Below are 24,233 nucleotides of genomic sequence, written 5' to 3'. Positions count from 1 at the left end.
CTGCACATGTATCCCAGAACTTAAAATAAAATAATTTTTTTAAAAAAAGAAGAGTGAAAAATCACAAAAACATGATTCAAATAATAACAGAAACCTAGAGATAAAGTGAATATAAACTATACCTTCTCTCTGAAGGCACTTCTCAAATCAGGAAAATTTGAAACTCTTTTAACGGTTTTGTGATTGCAGGAAAAAAAAAATTCTAAGCCTAGGTGTGATACAAGGAGGGAAAATGGTAAAAATCCCCTCCTTGCATATGTGGAGACCTCAAAGGGCTACATCTCTCAGAGTGAGAAAAAAATAAAGCAAAACAGCTTGCAAGTGTGATTTCAGCTTAAATTTAAACCTCCTGGGTGACCTTGGTCACCACAAGCCTAGAGGGTCATGAACATAAACCTCAACCAGCAGTCCTCCAAAGACTGCTCCCTAGACAAAGCTGCCTTCTTCTGGCTGAGCACAGTGGCTCACGCCTGTTAATCCCAGCACTTTCAGAGGCCAAGGCAGGCGGATCACTTGAGGTCAGGAGTTCGAGGCCAGCCTGGCCAACATGGTGAAACCCCGTCTCTACTAAAAATGCAAAAAATTAGCCGGGCGTGGTGGCGGGCGCCTGTAGTCCCAGCTACTCGGGAGGCTGAGGCAGGAAAATGGCGTGAACCCGGGAGGCAGAACTTGCAGTGAGCCGAGATCACGCCACTGCACTCCAGCGAGGGCGACAGAGTGAGATTCCGTCTCAAAAAAAAAGAAAAAAAAAATTAGCCGGGGGTGGCGGCAGTCACCTGTAGTCCCAGCTACTTGGGAGGCTGAGGCAGGAGAATCGCTTGAACCCAGGAGCAGAGGTTGCAGTGAACCGAGATCTTGCCACTGCACTCCAGCCTGGGTGACAGAGCAAGACTCTGTTTCAGAAAAAAAAAAAAGAGAGAGAGAACTCTGCCTTCTTTAAATCCTACGAATATTATTTCTAATATGCAAATATGGCAGCCAATACCAGGCAAAGATAACCGAAACACTGACCCCATGACAAAAATGACAGTCATTGTAATAGATACAGGTACTTTCAATGATCAGACACACTGTAAAACAACCAGGCTTATTATTGTTTAATAAGTGCAGTCGTTTAAGAACAATGAAAACGGTGAAGAACCCTGAGGTGAGAGGAAAAAAAACAACTGGATGTATTAGGAGATGAGAATTGAGATCGAGGGGCGGGGATGTAGTGCCGCTCTGGTTTTCCTCAGTGACTCAGAGCCTCAAACCTGCCCCATAGGTGCCTCCTCAACCCTGGTCCCTCTCCTGCTCAAACACCCGCCATGGCTCCCTATCGCCCACAGGATACTGTCCCCACCTGCGCTCTGGGACAACCCGCCCTCAGCACGGGGCCACTGTGCTCAACCAGAGAGGCTGTCAGGGTCTTGGCTCAGAAATACTCCGCCTTCCCCTCGCCAGGCCCTGGATCCCTGCAGTTCTCCGACGCCCCCTGCTGGCTGTCTGTGGGACTCAGGCACAGATTGATTCCCCGGAATCTGCAAAGGTGCCTGAGGAGGGCGCGGGTGGCTCTGAGACCTGACAGTGGTGGGTCACTGCAGATCCGCGCTCAGGGGCTCCACCCGTAGCCAAAGTCCATCCTCCGCGCGCACGATCAGCTCCAGCTTCCTGCGGGGCTCCGCGTGGTCCGGCAGGACGCGGAAGCGCAGCAGCGTGAGCGCCAGGACCACCTTCATCTCAGCCATGGCGAACGTCTGGCCGATGCAGTTCCCGGGGGAGGGGGTGGGGACTCTGACTGTGCCCAGGACCCCCATCCCGGCCCCATCGCGCCGGGAACCTCGTCTGGGACTCCCAACCCCACCCAGATCCGATTGAGGGGCAGAGAGAGGGACTCTGTGCCTGGGACCCCCATGTGGGCTTGCATATCCTCCGAGCCTGGCTTAGACTCCAGCCCCCAGACCAGCAGACGTAGGAGTGGGGAAGTCTGAGAACACACACCCCCTTTTCCTGGGATCTTATTAAAACCCTCGACTCCCTGAAACACGTGGCCCCACAAGTCAGACCTTGCCTCCACCTGTGGCACCCTCACCCGATGCCCGCCTCAGAAGCCCCTTAGCCTCACCTGGGCACTGCTGAGAAGGGAATAAAAGCCAGAGGTGATGTCTTCTGGAGATTTTCTGGGTCGAAGCGAAAGGGGTCATAGACCTGGTGGGTGGGCAAGTTAGGGCTGTTGGGTGGGGGTCTCTCAGGACACCCAGCCACCCGCATATAAGACAGATGTGAAGCCGGGCACGGTGACTCATGCCTGTAATCCCAGCACTTTGGGAGGCTGAGGGGCGAAACTCCTGAGGTTGGGAGTTCGAGATCAACCTGACCAACATGGAGAAACCCCGTCTCTGCTAAAAATACAAAATTAGCCGGGCGTGGTGGCACATGCCTGTAATCCCAGCTACTAGGGAGGCTGAGGCAGGAGAATCACTTGAACCCGGGAGGCAGAGGTTGCAGTGAGCCGAGATCGCTCCATTGCACTCCAGCCTGGGCAACAAGAGCAAAACTTCGTCTCAAAAAACAAAACAAAAAAAAAGTACACATGTGGGTGGAGTAGAGAGGGAGTATCTGCTTCCCTGGGAAAAGACCCCTCCCCTGACCAGGCCCCGGGATGGAGAAGGCGGAAGGGGTAGCACCTCCGGGTCCGGCCAGACTGAAGGGTTGTGATGGATCCCAAAGATGCTGATGGTGCAAGTGTTCCCTGTCGGGGAGGAGGTGCAGTCAGGACAAGGACTCCACTACACGATGGGACCTCCACCCTGCCCAAAGCCCTCCCCGCCTGCCCAACTGTGGGCACCTTTGGGGATGACCCGGCCATCCGGGAGCACCCCGTCCTGGGGGCAGCAGCGGTGGATCCTGGAGACTGGGGAATGCAGCCGCAGGCTCTCCTTCAGGCACATGGTCAGGAAGGGCAACTGGGCCAGGTCATCCCTAAGGTAACACCCAACAATTATCCAGGGGGCAAACACAGCCCTCCTGCAGTCCAGAGAGACCCTCGCACCAACTTGTAACCGCCCAGTGAATTCACCTTGCCTGCTGCCTAGAAAGAGCCGATTTATCAAGACAGGGGGTGTTTTCAGGAAAGGGCTATTATCAATTTGGTTTCAGACTCAAACCAAGAACTGAATTCCTTCCCAAAGTTAGTTCAGCCTATGCCCAGGAATGAACAAAGACAGCTTGAAGGTTACAAGCAAGATGGAGTCGATTAGGTCTGTTCTCTTTCACTGTCATGATGTCCTCAGTTATAATTTTTGCAAAGGCAATTCCAACCTCCCTCTGACCCTAAATCCAATAACAAAATGAATTCCAGAAGAATCAAGGATTTAAGCATGAGAAAACCAAAGTCGCAAAAGTATTAGAAAACTTGATATGGTATTTTTAGAAGCATTTCTAAGCAAAACACAACATATAGAGGGTCTCCTTAAAAGTGTTAACCTATTTGCATTAAAAAATGTTTTAAAATATATAATGAGGCCAGGTGCTGTGGCTTATGCCTGTAATTCTAGCACTTTGGAAAGCTGAGGCGGGTTGATTACTTGAGGTCAAGAGTTCAAGACCACCCTGGCCAACATAGCAAAACTCCGTCTCTATTAACAATACAAAAATTAACCGGGTATGGTGGCATGCACCTGTAATCCCAGCTACTCAAGAGGCTGAGGCACAAGAATCACTTGAATCTGGGAGGTGGAGTTTGCAGTGAGCGGAGATCATGCCACTGCACTCCAGCCTGGGTGACAGAGCAAGACCCTGTCTCAAATTAATAATAGAATATACTAACAAAGACGAGGGGAAAATCTCTATAAAGATTACAAAATTGTTTCAATAAAATCCCCTCAACACTCTAGAATGAGATGACTTAATATTATAAAGGTCTCATTTCTTTCTAAATTAATCAACATATTCAAAGCAATTCAATAAAAAATCTAGCATTTTATTTTGTAGGAACTTAACCATCTTATTCTAATTGGAAGAATTAAAGTTCATCAAAAGCTAGGTCAATTTAAGAATAAAAGATCCACCAGGCCTGGTGGTGCATGTCTGTGGTCCCAGCTACTCAGGAGGCTGAGGTGTGAGGATCCCTTGCGCCCAGGAGTTCAAGGCTGCAGTGAGCTATGATCATGCCAATGCACTCCAGCCTGGGCTATAAAGTGAGATCCCATCTCTTAAAAAAAAAGTTAAGATAAAATTAAAATAAAAGATTGAAGAAGATAAATCCAATTTACCAGATATTATGATCTATTACAAAGGTATAGCATAAAAATGAAATAAAATATTTTCTAAAAGATAAAGTGGCCAGGGGTGGTGGCTCAAGCTTGTAATCCCAGCACTTTGGGAGGCCGCCACGGGAGAGCCATGAGGTCAGGAGTTAAGATCAGCCTGGCCAACATAGTGAAACCCCGTCCCTACTAAAAATACAAAAACATAGCTGGGTGTGGTGGCAGGCGCCTGTAATCCTAGCTACTCCGGAGGCTGAGGCAGGAGAATCACTTGAATCCGGAAGGCAGAGGTTGCAGAGAGCCGAGATCACGCCACTGCTCACCAGCCCAGCTGAGACTCCGTCAAAAAAAAAAAAAAAAAGGTGATAAATGCGCTGGGCAAGGTGGCTCACATCTGTAATCCGAACACAGTGGAAGGCCAAAGCAGGCAGACTGCTTGAGCCCAGGAGTTCACAACGAGCCTGGGCAACATAGTGAGACCTTGTCTCTACTAAAAATACAAAAAATTAGCCGGGTGTGGTGGCATGTGCCTTTACTCCTGGCTACTCGGGAGGCTGAGGTGGGAGGACCCCTTGATCTTGGGAGGTGGAGGTTGCAGTGAGCCATGATCACACCACTGCACTCCAGCTTGGGAACACAGCAAAACCAAGAAAGAAAGCAAGAAAGCAAGAGAGAGAGAGAGAGAGGAAGGAAGGAAGGAAGGAAGGAAGGAGAAAGAGAGAAGGAGGGAGGGAAGAAAGAGAGAAGGAGGGAGGGAAGAAAGAGAGAAGGAGGGAGGGAAGAAAGAGAGAAGGAGGGAGGGAAGAAAGAGAGAAGGAGGGAGGGAAGAAAGAGAGAAGGAGGGAGGGAAGAAAGAGAGAAGGAGGGAGGGAAGAAAGAGAGAAGGAGGGAGGGAAGAAAGAGAGAAGGAGGGAGGGAAGAAAGAGAGAAGGAGGGAGGGAAGAAAGAGAGAAGGAGGGAGGGAAGAAAGAGAGAAGGAGGGAGGGAAGAAAGAAAGAAAGAAGGAAAGAAAGAAAGAAGGAAGGAAAGAAAGAAAGATGGAGGGAAGGAGGGAAAAGGAAAGAAAGGAAAAGAAAAGAAACGAAAAGAAAAGACTGGTACTGCTACAAGAACAGGAAAACGGACCAGAGGAAGAGAGAAGAGAGCTTGCAGTCAGGCACAGGAATAGGTGAAAATTTAACAACTTCTGGTAAAGAGGGGCCCACACACCCCTGGGCAATTGATAGATGATTTGGAGGAAGATGTTCAAACAATTGGAAATTTGGGAACAAAAAAACCAGATCCTTGTCTACTTCATATACAGGATGGAATCTCTTCCTATATGAGATGAATAAAGCTATAAAGTTAAGAGAAGATAACAGAAGAAACACTTTTGTGACTTAAGGGTGGGAATTCTTAAAACCTCGAAAGGACAAAGTAGAAGATCAAAAAGAAAAAGGATAAATATGCATGAAAATTAAGGAATTATGTGTAACACAGGATACCATGGACCAAATGAACATTCAGATGAGAGATTCAAAGGTTTCTACAATATCTAGAATACAAGGAATTCCTGCAAAATAACAAGAGAAAGAACAGGTGACCCAAGAGAAAAGTAGAAAAGAATATGATCTAAGAAATCATGGATGCCCTGAGGTCTATAAGAGATTTAACCCATTTATGCCTGAGGTTTCAATTTTTTGAATTTTGAAAATCAGACCTTGGCAATGACCTGGAGCAGTAGAATATGAATAACTCCCACATGCTTAGCATTCCAATAATGGAACACTAGGCATAAGTGGGACAATAAGAAGAGGTGCTCAGGTCAGGTGCAGTGGCTCACACCTGTAATTCCAGCACTTTGGGAGGCCGAGGCAGGCAGATCACCTGAGATCAGGAGATCGAGACCAGCCTGGCCAACATGGTGAAACCCTGTCTCTACTAAAAATACAAAAAAATTAGCCGGGCGTGGTGGTGGGCACCTGTAATCCCAACTACTCAGGAGGCTGAGGCAGGAGAATAGTTTGAACTCAGGAGGCAGAGGTTGCAGTGAGCCGAACTCAGGAGGCAGAGATTGCACCACTGCACTTCAGCCTGGGTGACAGAGCGAGGTTCCATCTCAAAAAAAAAAAAAAAAGAAAAGAAAAGAAAAAAAGAAAAACTTGTAAAAGCAAAGTAATAAAATAGGATCACCTTTATCAAATATGAAAGTGTTATTTAAAGTATAATGATGAAGACATCTTGATGCTTATGTATGACTATATAATTAACTGGGCCAGGCGTGGTGGCTCACGCCTGGAACCCCAGCATTTTGGGAAGCCGAGTTGGGCGGATCACTTGAGATCAGAAATTTGAGACCAGCCTGGCCAACATGGTGAAACCCTGTCTCTACTAAAAATACAAAAATTAGCCGGGTGTGGTGATGTGCACCTCTAGTCCCAGTTAGTCGGGAGGCTGAGGCAGGAGAATCGCTTGAACCCAGGAGATGGAAGTTACAATGAGCTAAGATCACACCACTGCACTCCAGCCTGGGCGACAGAGCAAGATTCTGTCTCAAAAAAAAAAAATAAAATAAATAAATAAATAAATAAATAAATAAAATTAAGTGGAACAGAATAAAGCCCAAGAAACAGACCCAAATATATAAATAAATTTCACTTATTGTGAATCTGCTGTTATTTAAAATCGTAAGACAAATACAAAATATTCATTAAATTCTGTTGGGGCAACTAGCCATTTGGAGGAAAATGAATACATTCCTACAACAATTCTTATACTATCATAGACTTCATAGAGAAAAAAGTAATAAATATTTTTAAACTAAAATAATAAATAAAATATTTTAAAAACAAATAAACCCATCAGAGGAAAACAAACATGAGTTTTACATTTTAATTTTAGAGCATGAAAGAATGTCCCATGCATGATTTAAAAAAACAAAAACATGGCCAGGCGCAGTGGCTCACGCCTGTAATCCCAGCACTCTGGGAGGCCAAGGTAGGTGGATCACCTGAGGCCTGGCCAACATGGTGAAACCCCATCTCTACTAAAAATACAAAAATTAGCTGGGCATAGTGGTGGACACTTGTAATCCCAGCTACTTGAGAGGCTGAGGAGGAGAATCACTTGAACTCGGGAGGCGGAGGTTGCAGTGAGCTGAGATGGTGCCACTGCTGTCCAGCCTGGGTGACAGAGCAAGACTCTGTCTCAAAAAAAAAATAATAAAAATAATAAAAAAAACAAAAAACGGCACGTATAAAGGAAAGAATTTGACTGCAAATAAATTAATCAAGCCAAAATAAATGAATGAAAACCAACAATTAATTCAAAGACAATCTGAAAAAGAACTTTGCAAAACAGAAAAAAAGAACTAGTTTTCTTAATCTGTGAGCAGTGCTTATAAATCAATAAGAAAAAAACTACAAAACCCAAACTAGAAGGAACAAATTGTGCAAACACTTCACAGAATAAGAAATACCCATGGTCAGTAAGTGAAAACAATGCTCAACTTTACCCAGGCTTAAAGTGATGTTCATTGAAGTATTATGTTGCATCTATCAGATTGGCAAATGTTTTAAAGTTTCATAATAGACACTTTAGGGGAGAATGTGAGGAAGGCATTCTCAAAATGTGTGTGTAGGAGCTATTGAATTGTCAATCTCAAATGGTCTTCAGTTCACCAACTGCACTTCTCAGAATTGGTACTGCAAAGCTGCTCACAGATGTAAGCAATGGTCAGTGTACATGGGTGCCCACTACATCATGTTAGTTATAGCAAAAGCCTGGAAAGCACACAAATATCCATCAATGGAGAAATGTTTTGATGAATTACAGTACATCCTTATGAGAGAACACTATGCAGCTATCAAAAAGGAGGAAACAAAGAGAACTAGTTCTACAACACACTGGAGAGTTAATCAGTGCAGAGACTCTAAAAGGCAATTCGGCAATATCTATTAGAACTGAATAGGTTTGGCCAGGCGCTGTGGCTCACACCTGTAATCCCAGCACTTTGGTAGGCTGAGGTAGGCGAATCCCCTGAGGTCTGGAGTTCGAGACCAGCCTGGCCAACATGGTGAAACCCCGTCTCTATTAAAAATACAAAAATTAGCTGGGCATAGTGGCGGATGCCTGCAATCACAGGTCCTCAGGAAGCTGAGGCAGGAGAATCACCTGAACTCAGGAGGCAGAGGTTGCAGTGAGCAGAGATTATGCCACTGCACTCCAGCCTGGATGACACAGTGAGACTGTCTCAAAAAAAAAAAAAAAGAAAAGAAAAAAGAAAGAAGTAACAAAAAAGAAAAAATAATTGAATGAGTTTAATTGCAATAGATAGTAAAGGCAAAAATCCTGCAACATTTCCTTTGCTCCAGGCTGAGTACCAGGCCCTGTTTCTGAGCTCTGCACCAATTCCCACTAGGCAGTAATAGCACAATCACCAATAAGACCTTCTCCCTTTCCCACCTGAAGAGCTAAACCAATGAGAGGGACTCAGGAACAGGTCATGAGGACCTGCACACTCACCATTCAATCTCTTTAGGATCACCGTTCTTCAGGAGCTCTTGCACCTCCTGTCGGCAGTGCTCCTGGTATTCTGGGTACCTCGCGAGGTTGTACAGGACCCAGGAGAGACCACTGGCCGAGGTGTCATGGCCTGAGGGGCAGCCAGGTAAGCTTGGGTCTCTGGGCTGCTTCAGCACCCAAGGGTGGACAGCACCCATGTATTGAGGCCCTCAGAAGGAAGTGGGGAAGGAAGATGGGATGGGGTGATCCAGGGTCCACTCACCACATCCCTGGAATGGAGACACTCCTACCCCTAGTGACATCACACCCTGGGACCCTCACCCCCAGACATGAAGGTGTCAGCCTCCGCTCTTATGTTCTCATCTGACAACTTCTTTCCATTTTCATCCTGGAGACAAGACAAGACCTCTAAATTACACCAGCCATGAAGGCACCTGAGTCTAACCTAAAACAGTTCATGAAGATCCATATTCCAGGCAAGATTCCTCCCTTATCATCATTAGACCTGCCTAGCAGGACTCTTTCCCAGTCTCTTGCCTCCTGTTTGCTCCTTCTAGGAACTCTTCTACAGAGTCACCTCTAAAATATATCTTACTTGTCCCTCCTTTCCTCAAGCACCTTCCATGGCTCCCCAGTGCCCTCTGGATCAAGTCCAAGTTCATGGATCTGACATTTCACGTCAAAGTCCATTCTACTTCTGAAATTCAGATCCCAGAGTAGCCCACCTTGGCCAGCAAGAGCACGTCAATGAAGTCCAAAGTCTTGGACTTGGCCTTGGCCTGCAGGAAGTCATCGACACCCTGGCTAGTGAGGGTGCGACGCCGCTCCTGGATGACAGCATCTGTGAAGTTGTGCACTATGTCACAGGCCCTGCAGAAGCGTCGCCCATTGGGAGTGAGGAAGTACAAGAAGTCCGTGAGCAGGAAGATGTGCTGGTGCCGTTTCAGACTGAGGGCACTGAGCTCCAAGATGGCATCAATATATTCGCTGGGCTTCCCGCAGGGTCAGGCCAGGAAGAGGAAGCAGCTTCTAAACACACATGAAAGCCTGGGAGCACCTTCTAGCCAGAATCCCAGGACCACGTTCGGTGCAGAAAAGGGTGCCCTGCAAGCACACTTCACTCTCTGCCTCCCACTCTCTGTGAGCTGCCTCCTGCCCCAGATGCCCCAGGGCACAGCTTGGCCATCATGGGCATCTTACACAACATCTGCTCCTGCCTATTTCTCCTTGGTTTCTCTCAAATCTGCCCCTTTTTCTCCACCAAGCTCAGGCCTCTTCCTCTCCATGGTCTCCTTGCTTCCTCTGTCTACATAACAGTCAATCTTCCACAGAGTCAAACGTCCAAGCTCAGCACTGACCATGACCCTCATCTTCTCAAATACCTCCCATGATTCCCTGGGAGCCTTGGATGAAGTTCATACCCCTTTGCATGGCTTTTCAATGTCATTAAGTTGTAGCTACTGCTGACCCCTCCAATCTCATTTCCAAGGTGTCCCCTTGATGGCCATTGCACGTGCTCTGCTCATCCTAGCCTCCTTGCCATTACCCAAACACTTCTACCTACCTGGAGAACTGATCTTTCTCTCTCCCCTTCCCTGTACTTCCATGCTCAATTCTGACTCATTTTCTCCAAGAAGACACTTCAGATGCCCTGATCAGTCCTCTCTCCATAACCTACTCCTGTGGGTCCATGGCCAAGATCCCAGGTCCTGGGGAAGAACTCACTCCTGACAATTGCTGTCAAAGCTGAAGATGCATTTCTGCAGACTGTCCAAGGTCATGAGGCTGATGTGCTCAAACATTTCCAGACGGACACTGCCCTCCAAGGCCAGGCGTTGCCATTTGGCCTGGCCAGAGAAGGGGACAGAGCAGGAACTGAGCCCTGGCTCCCCTGAGTCCCTTCCCGTCCCCAACCTCCAGGATGGACTCCCCCAGAACCAACTCCTAGTCGTCTTTCCCGGGTACCCATCCCCAAGGAGGACCAAGCTTGTGAGGGACAGAAGCTGTTACTATTAGGACATGAAGGCCCAAGGCTGGGGTTCGGGTGACCTGGGTTCAAGTTCCAGCTCTGCTTCTGTGCCCTATGTACCCTTGGTCAGCCCACTGCCCTCTTTAGGTCCCCCCTGTCAAATCTTCAGTAATAGTTAAGATGATCTGCTTTGGGTCAGGCACAGTGGCTCACACGTGTAATCCCAACACTTTGGAAGGTGAGATGGGCAGATCATGAGTTCAGGAGATTGAGACCATCTGGGCCAACATGGTGAAATCCGTCTCTACCAAAAAATACAAAAAATGGCTGGATGTGATGGCAGGTGCCTGTAATTCCAGCTACTCAGGAGGCTGAGGCAGGAGAATCGCTTGAACCCAGGAAGCGGAGGTTGCAGTGAGCTGAGATCATGCCACTGCACTCCAGCCTGGTGACAGAGTGAGACTCCATCTCAAAAAAAAAAAAAACAAAAAAAAAAGCAAAACAAGATGATCTGCTTTGGTGCCAGATAACCAGGTTAGAACCCCTTCTCCACCACTTTTAGCTCACTTTCTAACTGTGTAAACTTAGGCAAGCTCCCTAATCTCTCTGACCCACAATTTCTTCATCCATAATGTGGCAATTATGATCATCTCTACCTCAAAGGATTGTGAATATTAAATTAGACAACATAGATCATGGAATTGGCATATAGTTTCTGGTATACACTAAGTGCTCAATAAATGTTAGCTATCATTATCATCCTCATCATTAGCACAGAGGCAAGTGATTGCAGAAATGTCCCCAACTTTTTGCCCCTCACCCTTGGCGATGAGACTTGGCACCTCCTTCCATTTGCAGGCAGAGCCTGAGTCTCCATCTCCTGGATTTGAGCTGGTCTTGAAACTGGCTTTCACCAGGAGAATGTGGTAAAAATGCTAGTGTGCTAGTTCTGAACTAAGCATCAGGAGGTACTAAAATGTTTCTGCTCACTCTCTTGAAACTCAGGCTCCATGGTGGTAGTGAACCCAGGCTAGCCTCCTGGAAAATAAGGGACAAATGGAAGTGTCTGGTTGGCCCACCAGGGCCAGTGAGTTTTAAAGTGGTTTGCTATGCAGAAAAAGCTATATGCAATTTTTTTTTTTTTTTGGACTTGTAGTCTCACTGTCGCCCAGGCAGGAGTGCAGTGGCACAATCTCAGTTCACTGCAACCTTTGCCTCCTGGATTCAAGCAATTCTCCTGCCTCAGCCTCCCAAGTAGCTGGGATTACAGGCATGCGCCACCATACCAGCTAATTATTTTTTTGTATTGTTAGTAGAGATGGGGTTTCACCACGTTGGCCAGGCTGGCCTCAATCTCCTGGCCTCAAGTGATCCACCTCGGCCTCAAAAGTGCTGGGATTACAGGAGTGAGCCACTGCGCCCTGCCATTATCCAAATTTCATCATAACTGTCTTTATTAGTTTGCAAGGTTTCTGTGAGGGAGACTAGTAATTAATGCCTTCTGAACACCTACTATGTGCCAAGAACATGACTTCGGTACAAGATCTTGACCACCCTTTAAGTAGAAATTATTATCCACATTTTACAGATGAAGAAACCAAGGCCTAGGGAGGAAGAGCTATGGCACCAAAGCCACCCAGCAGAGCCAGCATTTCAGACCAGATCTGTCTGAGGTCACTTCTCCTTTTCCAAGGGCCCAGCTGGGATCCGAGTTTGTGGCACTCACGTGCATGATGTTCGTGCTCTCATTGAAAATCTTCACATAGGGCTTCAGGATTTTGAAGTGGAAGGCAGGTGTGAGCAGGTGGCGGTGCCATCTCCACTTGTCACCGGCACTAATCAGGAGCCCATCCCCTAGTAGAGGCAGCCAAGGGCCATGGGCAAGGACAGCACCTTCCCCTGGCCCCAGAAGGTTGTCCCCATCCCCATTCATCTAGTTACTCACCCAGCCAGGGCTTCAGGAAGCCATAGAAACTCATATCCTTGAGTGCAACAGCAGCTGACATGAATAAGGACCATCAGGGGTTATGGAGAGGGGCAGGGGAGGGACTTTGAGTGTAGGGGGAGGCTCCCAGCCAGGGATTTGCACTTCCACCCTCCAGGCCCAGCATAGCAGGAAGAGGGTCAAGGGCAAAGGAAGGAGGGAGGACAGGGGAGGAGACTGGGGACCAGACCAGGCTGCAGCGGTGCAGTAGAACAATGACACAGCCCAACATGGCACAGCACACCCCAGTACGCCTTGACATGGCTCCTACATGGTCCAACATGTTCTGCAACACCTGAGCATAGCTCAACGCTCTACAAAATGCCTTTACAAGGACCTAGGACACCCTAGCCGGGCACGGTGGATCACGCCTGTAATTCTAGCACTTTGGGAGGCTGAGGTGGGCGGATTGCCTGAGCTCAGCAGTTCAAAACCAGCCTGGGCAACATGGTGAAACCCCGTCTCTACTAAAAAATACAAAAACATTAGCTGGGTGTGGCGGCGGGCGCCTGTAGTCCCAACTACTCGGGAGGCGAATTGCTTGAACCAGGGAGGCGGAGGTTGCAGTGAGCCAAGATCGTTCTACTGCACCCCAGCCAGGATGACAGAGTGAGACGCTGTCTCCAAAAAAAAAAAAAAAAAAGGACCTAGGACACCCTGTCTGCCCAGTACTCTCTGACATCTTCTGACATGGACCTGAGATATGTGGCATAGCCTGAGATGCGTTAACATGTTCTGACATTGACACAATATACATGACCTGTCCTGATGTGGCATGCTCAGACATGGACCTGAGAGAGTCTAAAATGACTTCCACATGCCCTATAGATGGGCCCCAGATAGGATTTAAATCTGGTCCTATTAGCATCCCACATGTAACCTAGGCTTGATTTAGGCTTCCTCAGTATCCTGCCACACTCCACAATAAGCATTAATGAGTGAGACCCTGTCTCAAAAAAATTACAAAAAGAACTAAGAGGGAGGCCTCGATATGCTGTGTGACCTTGAGAAGTCATTGCACCTCTCTGCACCTCAGTTTTCTGACTCAGGAAATGCCTATCTCACAGGGATGCTGGTGAATGGATGTCTGGTGAATGGTGGTATCTGCCCGTCCAGCATCCATCCTCCTCATGCCTTCCCCACTCTCAATCCAAGTAGTTGAGTGGGTTCTCATCCCCTGCTCCAGAGCTAAGCATATGACCTTAAACCTATGCAATCAAGCTGCAGTGACTGGATAAGAAATTGGTCCTGTGACCCAGGCCAGGCAAATTTAGGGGAATCCTGGAAATTTTCCTGGAACTACAGGGAATTTTCCATGGGGGTTGAGCTTCTGGGATTTATCTTTAGCAGCATGAGAGTGAAACCATCACAGAGGGATACAAAGCTAAGAGATGAAGACTGGCATTATGATGGCCTGGATCCAGCCATGCCTGAAGACCACCCTTCCTGGACTTCACTTTTACTTCCTGACTTTTACTTTACAGTCAATGCATTCTGTTTCTTTGCTTAGACCACACAGGGTTGAGTTTTCTTCATTCAGAACTAAAAGAGGCCTCAGGAGCCAGAGAGCACCAGGGACCTGCCCAGAGTCACCCAGCAGGTTAGTGGCAGAGCCATGGTCTCTATTGGATATGTCCATTTTTCTGCTCAGCATGGCCTGTCCAAAGGTTGGGAAGGCAGGGAGCAGAGGCAGGGAAGATGCTGCAGCATAGCCTCCTGAGAAAGATACCTGAAGCCTGGAGCACAGGGGCAGTGAACGTAGGGTGGACGAGATGCAGGACAGGGTAGAAAGACCCAAGCCACCAGAGTTGGACATCACGGAAGTAGTGGCCCAGATCCTCCATCAGCCTCATGTCCTCCTCATTGCCCCGCATCTGGGGATAGACAAGGCTGACACCAGGCTGGCAGGGGGCCTCAGATGCTACCACTGCCCATTGCACCCCCCTACCCACCACACACCCCCAAACTTCTCAGCCCTTTCACCTGAAATATTGGTCTCTGCCTGTCTCTTTCTGTGTCTGTGTCTATGTGCTTCTCTGTTCCCTCACTCTCTTCCTCTCTCTGTGTCTTTCTCTAGATAGATATGTAGATGATGGATGGATGGATGGATAGATAGATAGATAGATAGATAGATAGACAGACAGATAGATAATAAGATAGATGGTTGGATGGACCCGTAGATAGGATGGGTGGATGCATGGATGGATTGGTAGGTAGGTGGGGAGGGAGGGAGGGAGATGATAGATAGATAGATTAGATAGATAGATAGATAGATAGATAGATAGATAGATAGATAGATAGATTAAATGGACAGATGGACACACAGATAGGATGGATGGATGGATCGCTGGATGGATGGATGGATAAATGGGTAGGTAGGTTGGTCAGTCGGTAGATATACAAGCAGATAGATAGAAGATAGATAGATAGGCCAGGTGCGGTGGTTCATGCCTGTATTCCCAGCACTTTGGGAGGCTGAGGTGGGTGGATCACGAGGTCATGAGTTCAAGACCAGCCTGACCAATATGGTGAAACCCCCCTGTCTCTACTAAAAATACAAAAATTAGCCGGGTCTGGTGGCGCATGCCTGTAGTCCCAGCTTCTCGGGAGGCTGAGGCAGGAGAATCACTTGAACTCAGGACGTGGAGGTTGCAGTGAGCCAAGATCACGCCACTGCACTCCAGCCTGGGTGACACAGCGAGACCCCATCTTGAAAAAAAAAAAGTAGATAGATAGATAGATAGATAGATAGATAGATAGATAGGATACATGGATGGATGCACAGATAGGAGGGATGGACGGATATGTAGGTAGGTAGGTAGGAGGTAGGTATATAAGTAGGTAGGTAGGTAGATAACAGGATAGATGGATGGATTGATGTATGGATGCACAGATAAGATGGATGGATGGATAGATGATAGATTAGATAGATAGATAGATAGATAGCTAGATAGATAGATAGATAGATAGATAGGATAGATAGAAGGATGAATGGATGCACAGGCAGGATGGATGGATGGATAGGTAGGTAGGTAGGTAGATAATACGATAGACAGATAGATGAGAGAAAGAGAAAGGTAGGTGACAGATCGATAGATGATAAATAGGATAGATGGATAGAGAGATAAGAGAGACAGGTATAGATGAGAGAGATGTATGAGTGATGGCTACATAGATGACAGATATGATCAATGACAGATTTAGATATGTGTGTCTATGTGTTTCTTTTACTTTCTGTTTATGTGTCACTTTCTCTGTGTCTTTCTCTCCCTCTCCCCTCTCTCTCCCTCACTCTGTCTCTCACTGTCTCTCTCTTTCTCTGTGTGAGCATCTTTTTCCCTATCACTGTCTCTCCCAAGTCCAACTCTCCATCCCTCTCCCTGTCTCTCCCCACCAACACTTGACCATTCACCCCACTTGCTGTTTATCCCAAATTCATAATGAATCTCAGTCCATTGAACTTTCTCTCCTGTCCCCTAGTCCCAGCACAGCCTCCTGCCCCTAGCTCTAGACAGGTACCCCCAGCTTTGCAGCAAGTTAGCAGGGGGAAGATGTAGACACAGCCCCTTCTCCCAAGCCTGGCTGCACCACCCCCAGACCAGGCTCCACATCCCACCCCAAGGATAGCCCTGAATTTGAGTTCATGGGAGAATGTTCTGTCTCATACTCCCATCACTCCCACAACTGTGCCCAGGCTGGAGCCAGCTGGGAAAGACTGAAGGAGATGCCCAGAAGAGATCCAGAAGGAAGTGGAAGAAAATGGGTAGAAGCCAGTCAGAGAACAAGAGCAGAGGTAGCAGGTCAGTGGGAGAGGAATGACTGGAGAATCATAAGGCCCTGTCTTAGTGTGGGCTCTCTAGAAGCAAAACCTGAATTGCAGATACTTCTGCAAGGGTTGCTATAGAAAGGAGCTTGATAAAAAGGGAGAGAAACCAGGTGGGGCAACGGAAGGAGCCAGTCAGCTGATATTGCCCCTCTCCTGTTCACACACCCTCCAGGGCTCCCCATTGTCCTCAGAATCAATCTCCTCCCCTCCCTCTTTCTTCTGCCTCTCATCCTAATTGTTCTGGTGGCACCAAGCTCTTTCTTGCTGCTCAAAAGCCAGGTGCTTGCTCTCACCTCCAAGTCTTCGAGTTGGCCCAACCTCCACATGAAATTATCTTTCTCTTTCTCTTCTTTGCTTAAAAAAATTCCTACTCATCATTCCAGACCCACTTCCACAAACCCCTCCTCCAGGAAGCCTGCCTGCCTGCCCCATTGGCAAAAACCCTGATTCCCCTCAGGGGTCCTACAGTCCATCTCTCCTTCAAGCCAGCCCTGACCACACAGGATGTGGAGTGTCTCAGTCTAGTTCTGTGGCCCCAAGATTGGGGGTGCCTCCAAGGTAGAACCTCAACTGAGTCTCTCCAAGGATCCCTAGGATGGAGATTGGCAAATAAATGAAAGAAATAAAAGATGACCAAGGGCGTCCAGAGCCACGGGGACCTTGGGTCCTACAGGATCAACACATAAGCTGGGCAAGAAGGGGCTCACAGGCTTTGGACACTGCCATAGCACCCACTTCCAGGTGTTCTGAGTGAGCACCTGTGGTGCTGATGACAGATCGTATGATGTTGGGTGGCACAAACCAATAAAGAGGAAAATGAGACCCAGCCACTTTTTTTTTTTTTTTGAGATGGAATTTCACTCTTGTTGCCTAGGCTGGAGTGCAATGGGGCCATCTTGGCTCACTGCAACCTCCGCCTCCCAATAAGTGGCTCAGTCTATCAAAAAAGTCTGTCCAGGTCTCATCTTTTTTTTTTTTTTTTTTCTGAGACAGAGTTTTCCTCTTGTCACTCAGGCTACAGTGCAATGGATAGATCTCAGCTCACTGCAACTTCTGCCTCCCAGGTTCAAGAGATACTGCTGCCTCAGCCTCCAGAGTAGCTGAGATTATAGGCGCCCATCAGCACACCCGACTAATCTTTGTATTTTTAGTAGAGATGGGGTTTCACCACGTTGGTCAGGCTGGTTTCGAACTCCTGACCTCAGGTGATCCACCTGCCTCGGCCTCCCAAAGTGCTGGGATTACAGGCATGAGCCACTGCACCAGCCATCTCATCTCTTTACTTCATTGCAAATAACAAACTTTAAAACCTGAGCTCTCATTCTATAAGATCTGTGTCATGTTTTCATGTAGCTTGATGTTTTAATTATTCTTCAATCAGTCTTCACAAGCATAATGATTAATGTTTTCATACAGTTCCTTCAACAAATAGTTATTCAAGATAGACTGTGTGCATTCTACATTCAGGTGATAGAGCAGGGGATAGGACAGGTGAAGTCACTTTTGCTCTCAGGGAACTTGCAGTGGTCCATATGGCTTTACCATAATTAATTCACTAGTTTTGAAAACATGTTTACTATTTATTACTAGCATAACAAATGCAATGGAAGTCTCATGTAATTATGTTACATATACCTGATTATCAACTGAATATAGTGTCCTCAAAATAAGTCATTGGTATAGTTTGAAGTTTTTGATATATACTGCAAAATTACTTTGAAGAAGAATTTTATAAATATCCACATGCATATCTGCTCCGTATGAAGGTGGACAGCATTACACACTGAAGGCCTTATATGTTTTTAAAAAGCCTTTATCAATGTAATAGTCAAGAAGTAACATCTTGGCCGGGTGTGGTGGCTCACACCTCTAATCCCAGCACTTTGGGAGGCTGAGGCAGGCGGATCACCTGAGGTCAGGAGTTTGAGACCAGCCTGGCTAACATGGTGAAACCCTGTCTCTACTAAAAATACAAAAAAAAAAAAAAAAAAAAATTAGCTGGGTATGGTGGTGCACGCCTGTAATCCCAGCTACTCCAGAGGCTGAGGCAGGAGAATCACTTAAACCCAGGAGGCAGAGGTTGCAGTGAGCCGAGATCATGCCACTGCACTCCAGTCTTGGTGACAGAGCAAGACTCTGTCTCCGAAAAAAACCATATATATACATACAAAAATTAGCCGGGCATGGTGGTACATGCCTGTAGTCCCAGCTACTAGGGAGGCTGAGGCAGGAGGATCATTTGAACCCAGGAGATGGAGGTTGCAGTGAGCCGAGATCATGCCACTGCACTCCAGCCTGGACGGCACAATGAAACCCTGTCTCAAAAAAATAAAAAAATAAAATAAAAGGTCACATCTGAAATTGTCTTTATTGATTATGAGATTGCATCGATTTTCTTAAATTTGTCGATAATCTCTGTCTCTATTTATTCAAACTGTGTAGGCAAAACTTTTGCCTGTTAGCCAATTGATAGTATCTCTAATGGATTTGTAGTGTAATTTGTGTGCTTTTGTCTGTAATTTTTATAAATGGTTTCCTTTTTTAGACAGAAAAAGAAAGAAAGAAAGAGAAAGAAGGAAGGAAGGGAGAAAGAAAGAGATAGAGAGAAAGAAAAGAAAGAAGAAAGAAAAAGAAAGAAAGAGAAAGAAAGAAAAGAAGAAAGGAAAGAAAGAAAGGAAGAAAGAAAGAGGAAGGAAGGAAGGAAGGAAGGAAGGAAGGAAGGAAAAAGCCTGTCCGGGACTGAGGAGAGAGTGGAGGAAAGGATTGGGCACGGCAACAGGGAGACCAGGGAGGCGCCCGTGGGAGGCATCCAGGAGAGAGGTGGCAAGGGATGGAGCCAGGGGAGGCAGGAGGACTCAGAGAAGGAATTGACGGAGGAGAGACTGTGCCAGGCAGCACCAGCAGACGTGCTGAGGGACAGGATGTGCAGATGAGAGAAAGAGAACATCAGGAGACCCCAAAGCGTGGGGTCTGGGAAACTGAAGGACTAGACCAAAATGGGGGACAGTGTAGGGAGGGGGGCCATGAGTTCAGATTCAAACCGATCGGAATGGAAGTGTTTCTGAGACCACCCCCACCCCGAGAGGAGAGAAGCAATGACCTCCAGCTCAGGAGATGTAAACTCAGAGCTCACTTCTAGAGGGAACCGATGGTCAATTTAGAAGCTGGAGCCCTGGGTAAGGAGGTGACCTCAGGAGAGAGGCAAGAGGGAGGAATGACTAGGACCATGGGGGATCTCCCCATAGTGAGGAGCCAACAGCAGAGACACGGGAGCACACGAAGGTCAGAGGAGACCAGGGAATGGCAACGTCCTGGAACCAAGAAAAAAGGAGGTACTGGGAATGACTGAGTAGTCACAAATTCAGAGAGCTGCTGGGAGGTAGATGAGTTGGGGCTGGGAGGTGTCCATGGGATTTGGGGGCTTGAGGGTCACGGTCACCTCAAGACAGCAGGATGGGGTGGAGAGCAGGTGAGGGGCGATCAGAGAAACAAAGGGAGTGAGTGAAGGCAACTCTGTCTTTGAGGGGACAGCAGAGCAAGCAGGCTGAAGGTCTGGGCGCAGAATGTGGTGCACAGGAGGTGGGTGGGAGGGAATTTACATATCACCCATCTGACCTGCTTTGTGACCTTCTCTAATATTGTTGTAGAGAAGAAATAAAGAGAACACGGGTGGCCAGACACCATGGCTCATGCCTGTAATCCCAGCACTTTAGGAGGCTGAGGCAGGTGGATTGCTTGAGCCCAGGAGTTCAAGACCAGCCTGGGCAACATAGTGAGACCCTGTCTCTATAAAAAATGAAAAATAAAGACAGAACATGGGCGATTGAGCTCATCTAAGGCAAAGGTCTTCCAAATGGCCAGGAAAGAAAGTCCCATTGGCCAGAAACCAGCCCATGAGCAAATAATAGGAACTATGCCTAGGAAGGACTGGAAGAAGCTGCTAGACTGGGGTGTAGAGAGAACTGGAAGTCCCAACAGGGTGTAAGATGAGAAGCAGTGGGCCAGGTGCAGTGGCTCATGCCAGCACTTTGGGAGGTCAAGGTGGGCAGACCACTTGAGGTCAAGAGTTTGAGACCACCCTGGACAACATGATGAAACCTCATCTCTACTAAAAATATAAAAATTAGCCAGGCGTGATGGTGGGCGCCTATAATCCCAGCTACTTGGGAGGCTGAGGCAAGAGAATCACGTGAACCTGGGAGGCGGAGATTGCAGTGAGCTGAGATCACGCCACTGCACTCCAGCCTTGGTGTGCACGAGTGAGAACGAGACGACATCTCAAAAAAAAAAAAAAAAAAAAAAAAGGTTGAGAGATAGTGAACAGAAAAAGCTAGAAGGAGAGAAGGGATTGTGGTCAGAGAAGGCAACACTTGAATCAATGGCATTGGAGTGGCGCCTTTACAGATAATGACCAACCCAAGGTATGATTCTGGCAGTAGAGGGCCAACACAGCATGGAGAAAAGTCCTCTAGGGGGGAGGCTAGGATGAGGGAGATGAGGAATCTCCTCCCAGGGAATTTGGCTGTTAGGGCAGAGGCCAGAATGATCCCTTCTGAAAGGAAAAGTAGTCAACTGTTATCCAAACTGAGCAATGGGGCCCATTGACATATCTTAGGGGTGGAGGGAAATATAAGAAAAAAAGGTGCCTGATTAAAGACACGGAGGGAGAAACCAGCCACATCTTTCCTCTGGCCCAGCTGTGCCCTGTGGGTGCGGTAGGGAGAAATAGCAAATCTTATGGGGAGGCAGCAGCCCAGAGAGGAGTAGACACCAGCCTGAGGCCCACAGAGATGGGCCAGGCAGAGAGTGGACTCTGGACTCTCCCCGTGAGGAGACCTCAAGTCCAGTGATAAGGATTGTGGACTAAGCTAAGTGCAGTGGTTCATGCCTGTAATCCCAACACTTTGGGAGGCAGAGATGGGAGGATTGCTTGAGGCCAGGAGTTTGAGACCACTCTGGGCAACATAGTGAGACCCTGTCTCTACAAAAAAAAAAACTAGCAGGTCTGGTGGTGCACGCCTGTAGTCCCAGCTACTGGGGAGGCTGAGATGGGAGGATTGGTTGAGCCCAGGAGGTCAAGGCTGCGGTGAGCTATGATTGCACCACTGCACTCCAGCCTGGGTGATAGAGCGAGACCCTGTCTCAAAAAAAAAAAAAAAACATGGGCAGCCAGGGAGTACCTGCTCTGTGCAGTCCACCCTAGAAGCCCCCAGTAGAACAAGGATACAACGATGCATTAATGTGGGGAAGACAAGTAGGAACTTGAGCCAAAGCAGGCTTAGGGTGGGGAAGAGAGAGAAAGAAAAAGGCCTGGGGCCATGGAGTGGACAGAGAGGAGGAATGAATCCGGTTGGGGCAGTGAGGAAATAGGGGCTCCCCTCGGCCTCCCTCACTCCTCTGATGTCCCAGACCCCAACCCACCCTCAATATCCAGCTCCCTGAGCCCCATTCCCACCCCTCTAGAAGTCCACCCACCCTGAGACCCCAGACCCGTCGTGCTGCCATACTCACCAGGCTCAGGTGACCTCAAAAGCAGTTCCGTTTTGGAGGCTGCTGGAAACACTGGAGGCGGTGGCAGTTGTCATAGAAGGCGTACGTCCAGGCCAGGACACGGGCCAGGAGCCAGGAGGCCCCGACCAGCAGCAGGAGCAGCCATGGGGATGCTGCCACCGGCCCGAGGCCCAGCCAGGACAGGCTCAGCAGCGACATCCTGCAGGGCACACGGGATGGAGGGTGAGGTCCTGAGGCCCAGAAAAAGAGCCCGGGGAGCTTCGGGGACATTGGACAGGGGCAGGGATGGGAGGTGCTGGAGGCAGGGAGAGCTCAGAGATGAGAAAACAAGGGCTGAAAGCAGAGAGGGAAACCCAGGTACAGCCAGGAGAAGAGGCGGAGAGAGAAGAGAGTAAAGAAGAGAGAGGGAAGAGAGAAAGAGAGAGAGGAAGGCTGATTAGAGTCCTGAAAGGCCCAGCCTGAATCACTGCAGGTTGTCAGTGGCTTGGTTTCAGTTACCAGGAACCCATCAGCCCCACCAGGACCAGCTCCCTGGAGCCACCCCAGCCTTGGGCAGTGCCCCTCCCTCTCCCAGACCAGGACCCTCCAGCCCCGACAGTTCCAGCCTGGCACCTTCTGTCAGGAGCAGCTTGTCCCACACAACTTCCTCTTCCCTCCTCCTGGGGCTTCTTTGTCCCTGGCCCCTCACCTAGGCAAGGCTGGGCTGGGCTGGGCAGTCAGGGGCAGCCAATCCCCGTAGGCCATAGGCCTGGCTGCCTCCTCCCTGCCTGGGCAGCTGGCCAAAACCTGCAGGCAGTATCAGCTGGGTGCAGAGAGGAACCAAGTCAGTGTCACAGTTCAGAGTGGAAACTGGATCTTCAGCCTTCAGTATCTCCTGCTTGAACCTGGGGCCAAGGTGACTCTGGGACCCCAAGTTTACAGCTGCCCCTGCCCTTCCAAGGCCACGTAAATCATGAGGTTGGGAATTCAGGCGTCAGGCAAGGAGAACCAGGCAGGCCAAGCCTTGCACCCAAACATCTCCCACAAGTGGGCTGGGAGGACACCATGCACCATTTCTCGGTGCAGAATTAGGAGACTTGGAGAAGGGAGTCTCTGGCCTCTGACTGCACAACCTGGCAGAAATTCAAGTCCTGCCTCCAGCCAGCCCAGGGCTGAGGTGACACATGATGGCCAGGAGCAGGAACAAAGAACAAAGAATCCAGCCCCGCTGAGGATTACCCAGGTCAGATTCTGGGGATTAAGAGGAGAACTGGAAGAGTAAACCAGGCAGCTGTGGTCGGTTTTGTTTGTTTTAATTAATGCAAAACAGATTTATCTGCATGCACAGCAGTGAGGATTAGGAAACTAGATAGAAAGGAAAGAAGCCTTCAGCAGCAAGTGAAACTCATCAAGACTCTTTTTTTTTCTTTTCTTTTCTTTTCTTTTCTTTTTGGAGGCGGATTCTCGCTCTGTCACCCAGGCTGGAGTGCAGTGGCGTGATCTCGGCTCACTGCAAGCTCCGCCTCCCAGGTTCATGCCATTCTCCTGCCTCAGCCTCCCAAGTAGCTGGAACTACAGGTGCCCACCACCACGCCTGGCTAATTTTTTTGTATTTTTAGTAGAGACGGATTTCACCCTGTTAGCCAGGATGGTCTTGAACTCCTGACCTCAGGCGATCCACCCGCCTCAGCCTCCCAAAGTTTTAGGATTACAGGCGTGAGCCACCGTGCCCAGCCAAGACCTTTAAGTAGCTGACTCTAGGATCTCTATAATGGGAAGACTTACTCAGTCTAGAAGGTGGGGTGGGAGGCACAGGGGGCAAGAGTGAGAGGGGCCATGAGCGGACAGGGTCAGGCATAGGAGGGCAGAGCCAAGGGACTCTGGGTGGAGTCCTCGTTGTGCCCCGTCCTTGCTCTGACTGTGAGCAGTGCTGGGTCTCCTGGGCTCAGTCTTCCTATCTGGGAAATGGGATGTTGGCCTTAAAGGGGCACATCTTGTCCAGATACTGTCCTGAAATCCCCTGTTGGGTGTTCTCAGCCCTCAGCCACTAAGATGAGGGTGAGTGGGGTTTTTTCATTTTTTTGATGTTTGTTTTATTTTGTTTTGTTTTTGAGACAGAGTGTCGCTCTGTTGCCCAGGCTGGAGTGAGGTGGCGTGAACTCAGCTCACTGCAAGCTCCGCCTCCAGGTTCAAGCTATTCTTCTGCCTCAGCCT

At 48.4% G+C, this 24,233-nt stretch overlaps 1 pseudogene, besides 1 other annotated feature; it reads right to left on the bottom strand.

Moving 5' to 3' along the window:
• Nucleotides 1,518–1,597: a silencer, noted in NCBI's record as "silent region_10285". NCBI's record gives its function as "represses an Ori minimal core promoter by ATAC-STARR-seq in GM12878 lymphoblastoid cells {active_cell/tissue: GM12878}" and the evidence as "EXISTENCE:reporter gene assay evidence [ECO:0000049][PMID:35858748]".
• CYP4F23P (cytochrome P450 family 4 subfamily F member 23, pseudogene) lies at nt 1,570–22,341 on the bottom strand (annotated as a pseudogene).

This window comes from Homo sapiens, chromosome 19 (assembly GCF_000001405.40).
Source record: "Homo sapiens chromosome 19, GRCh38.p14 Primary Assembly".
NCBI lineage: Eukaryota > Metazoa > Chordata > Mammalia > Primates > Hominidae > Homo > Homo sapiens.
This window is presented reverse-complemented; position numbering and strand designations above follow the sequence as displayed.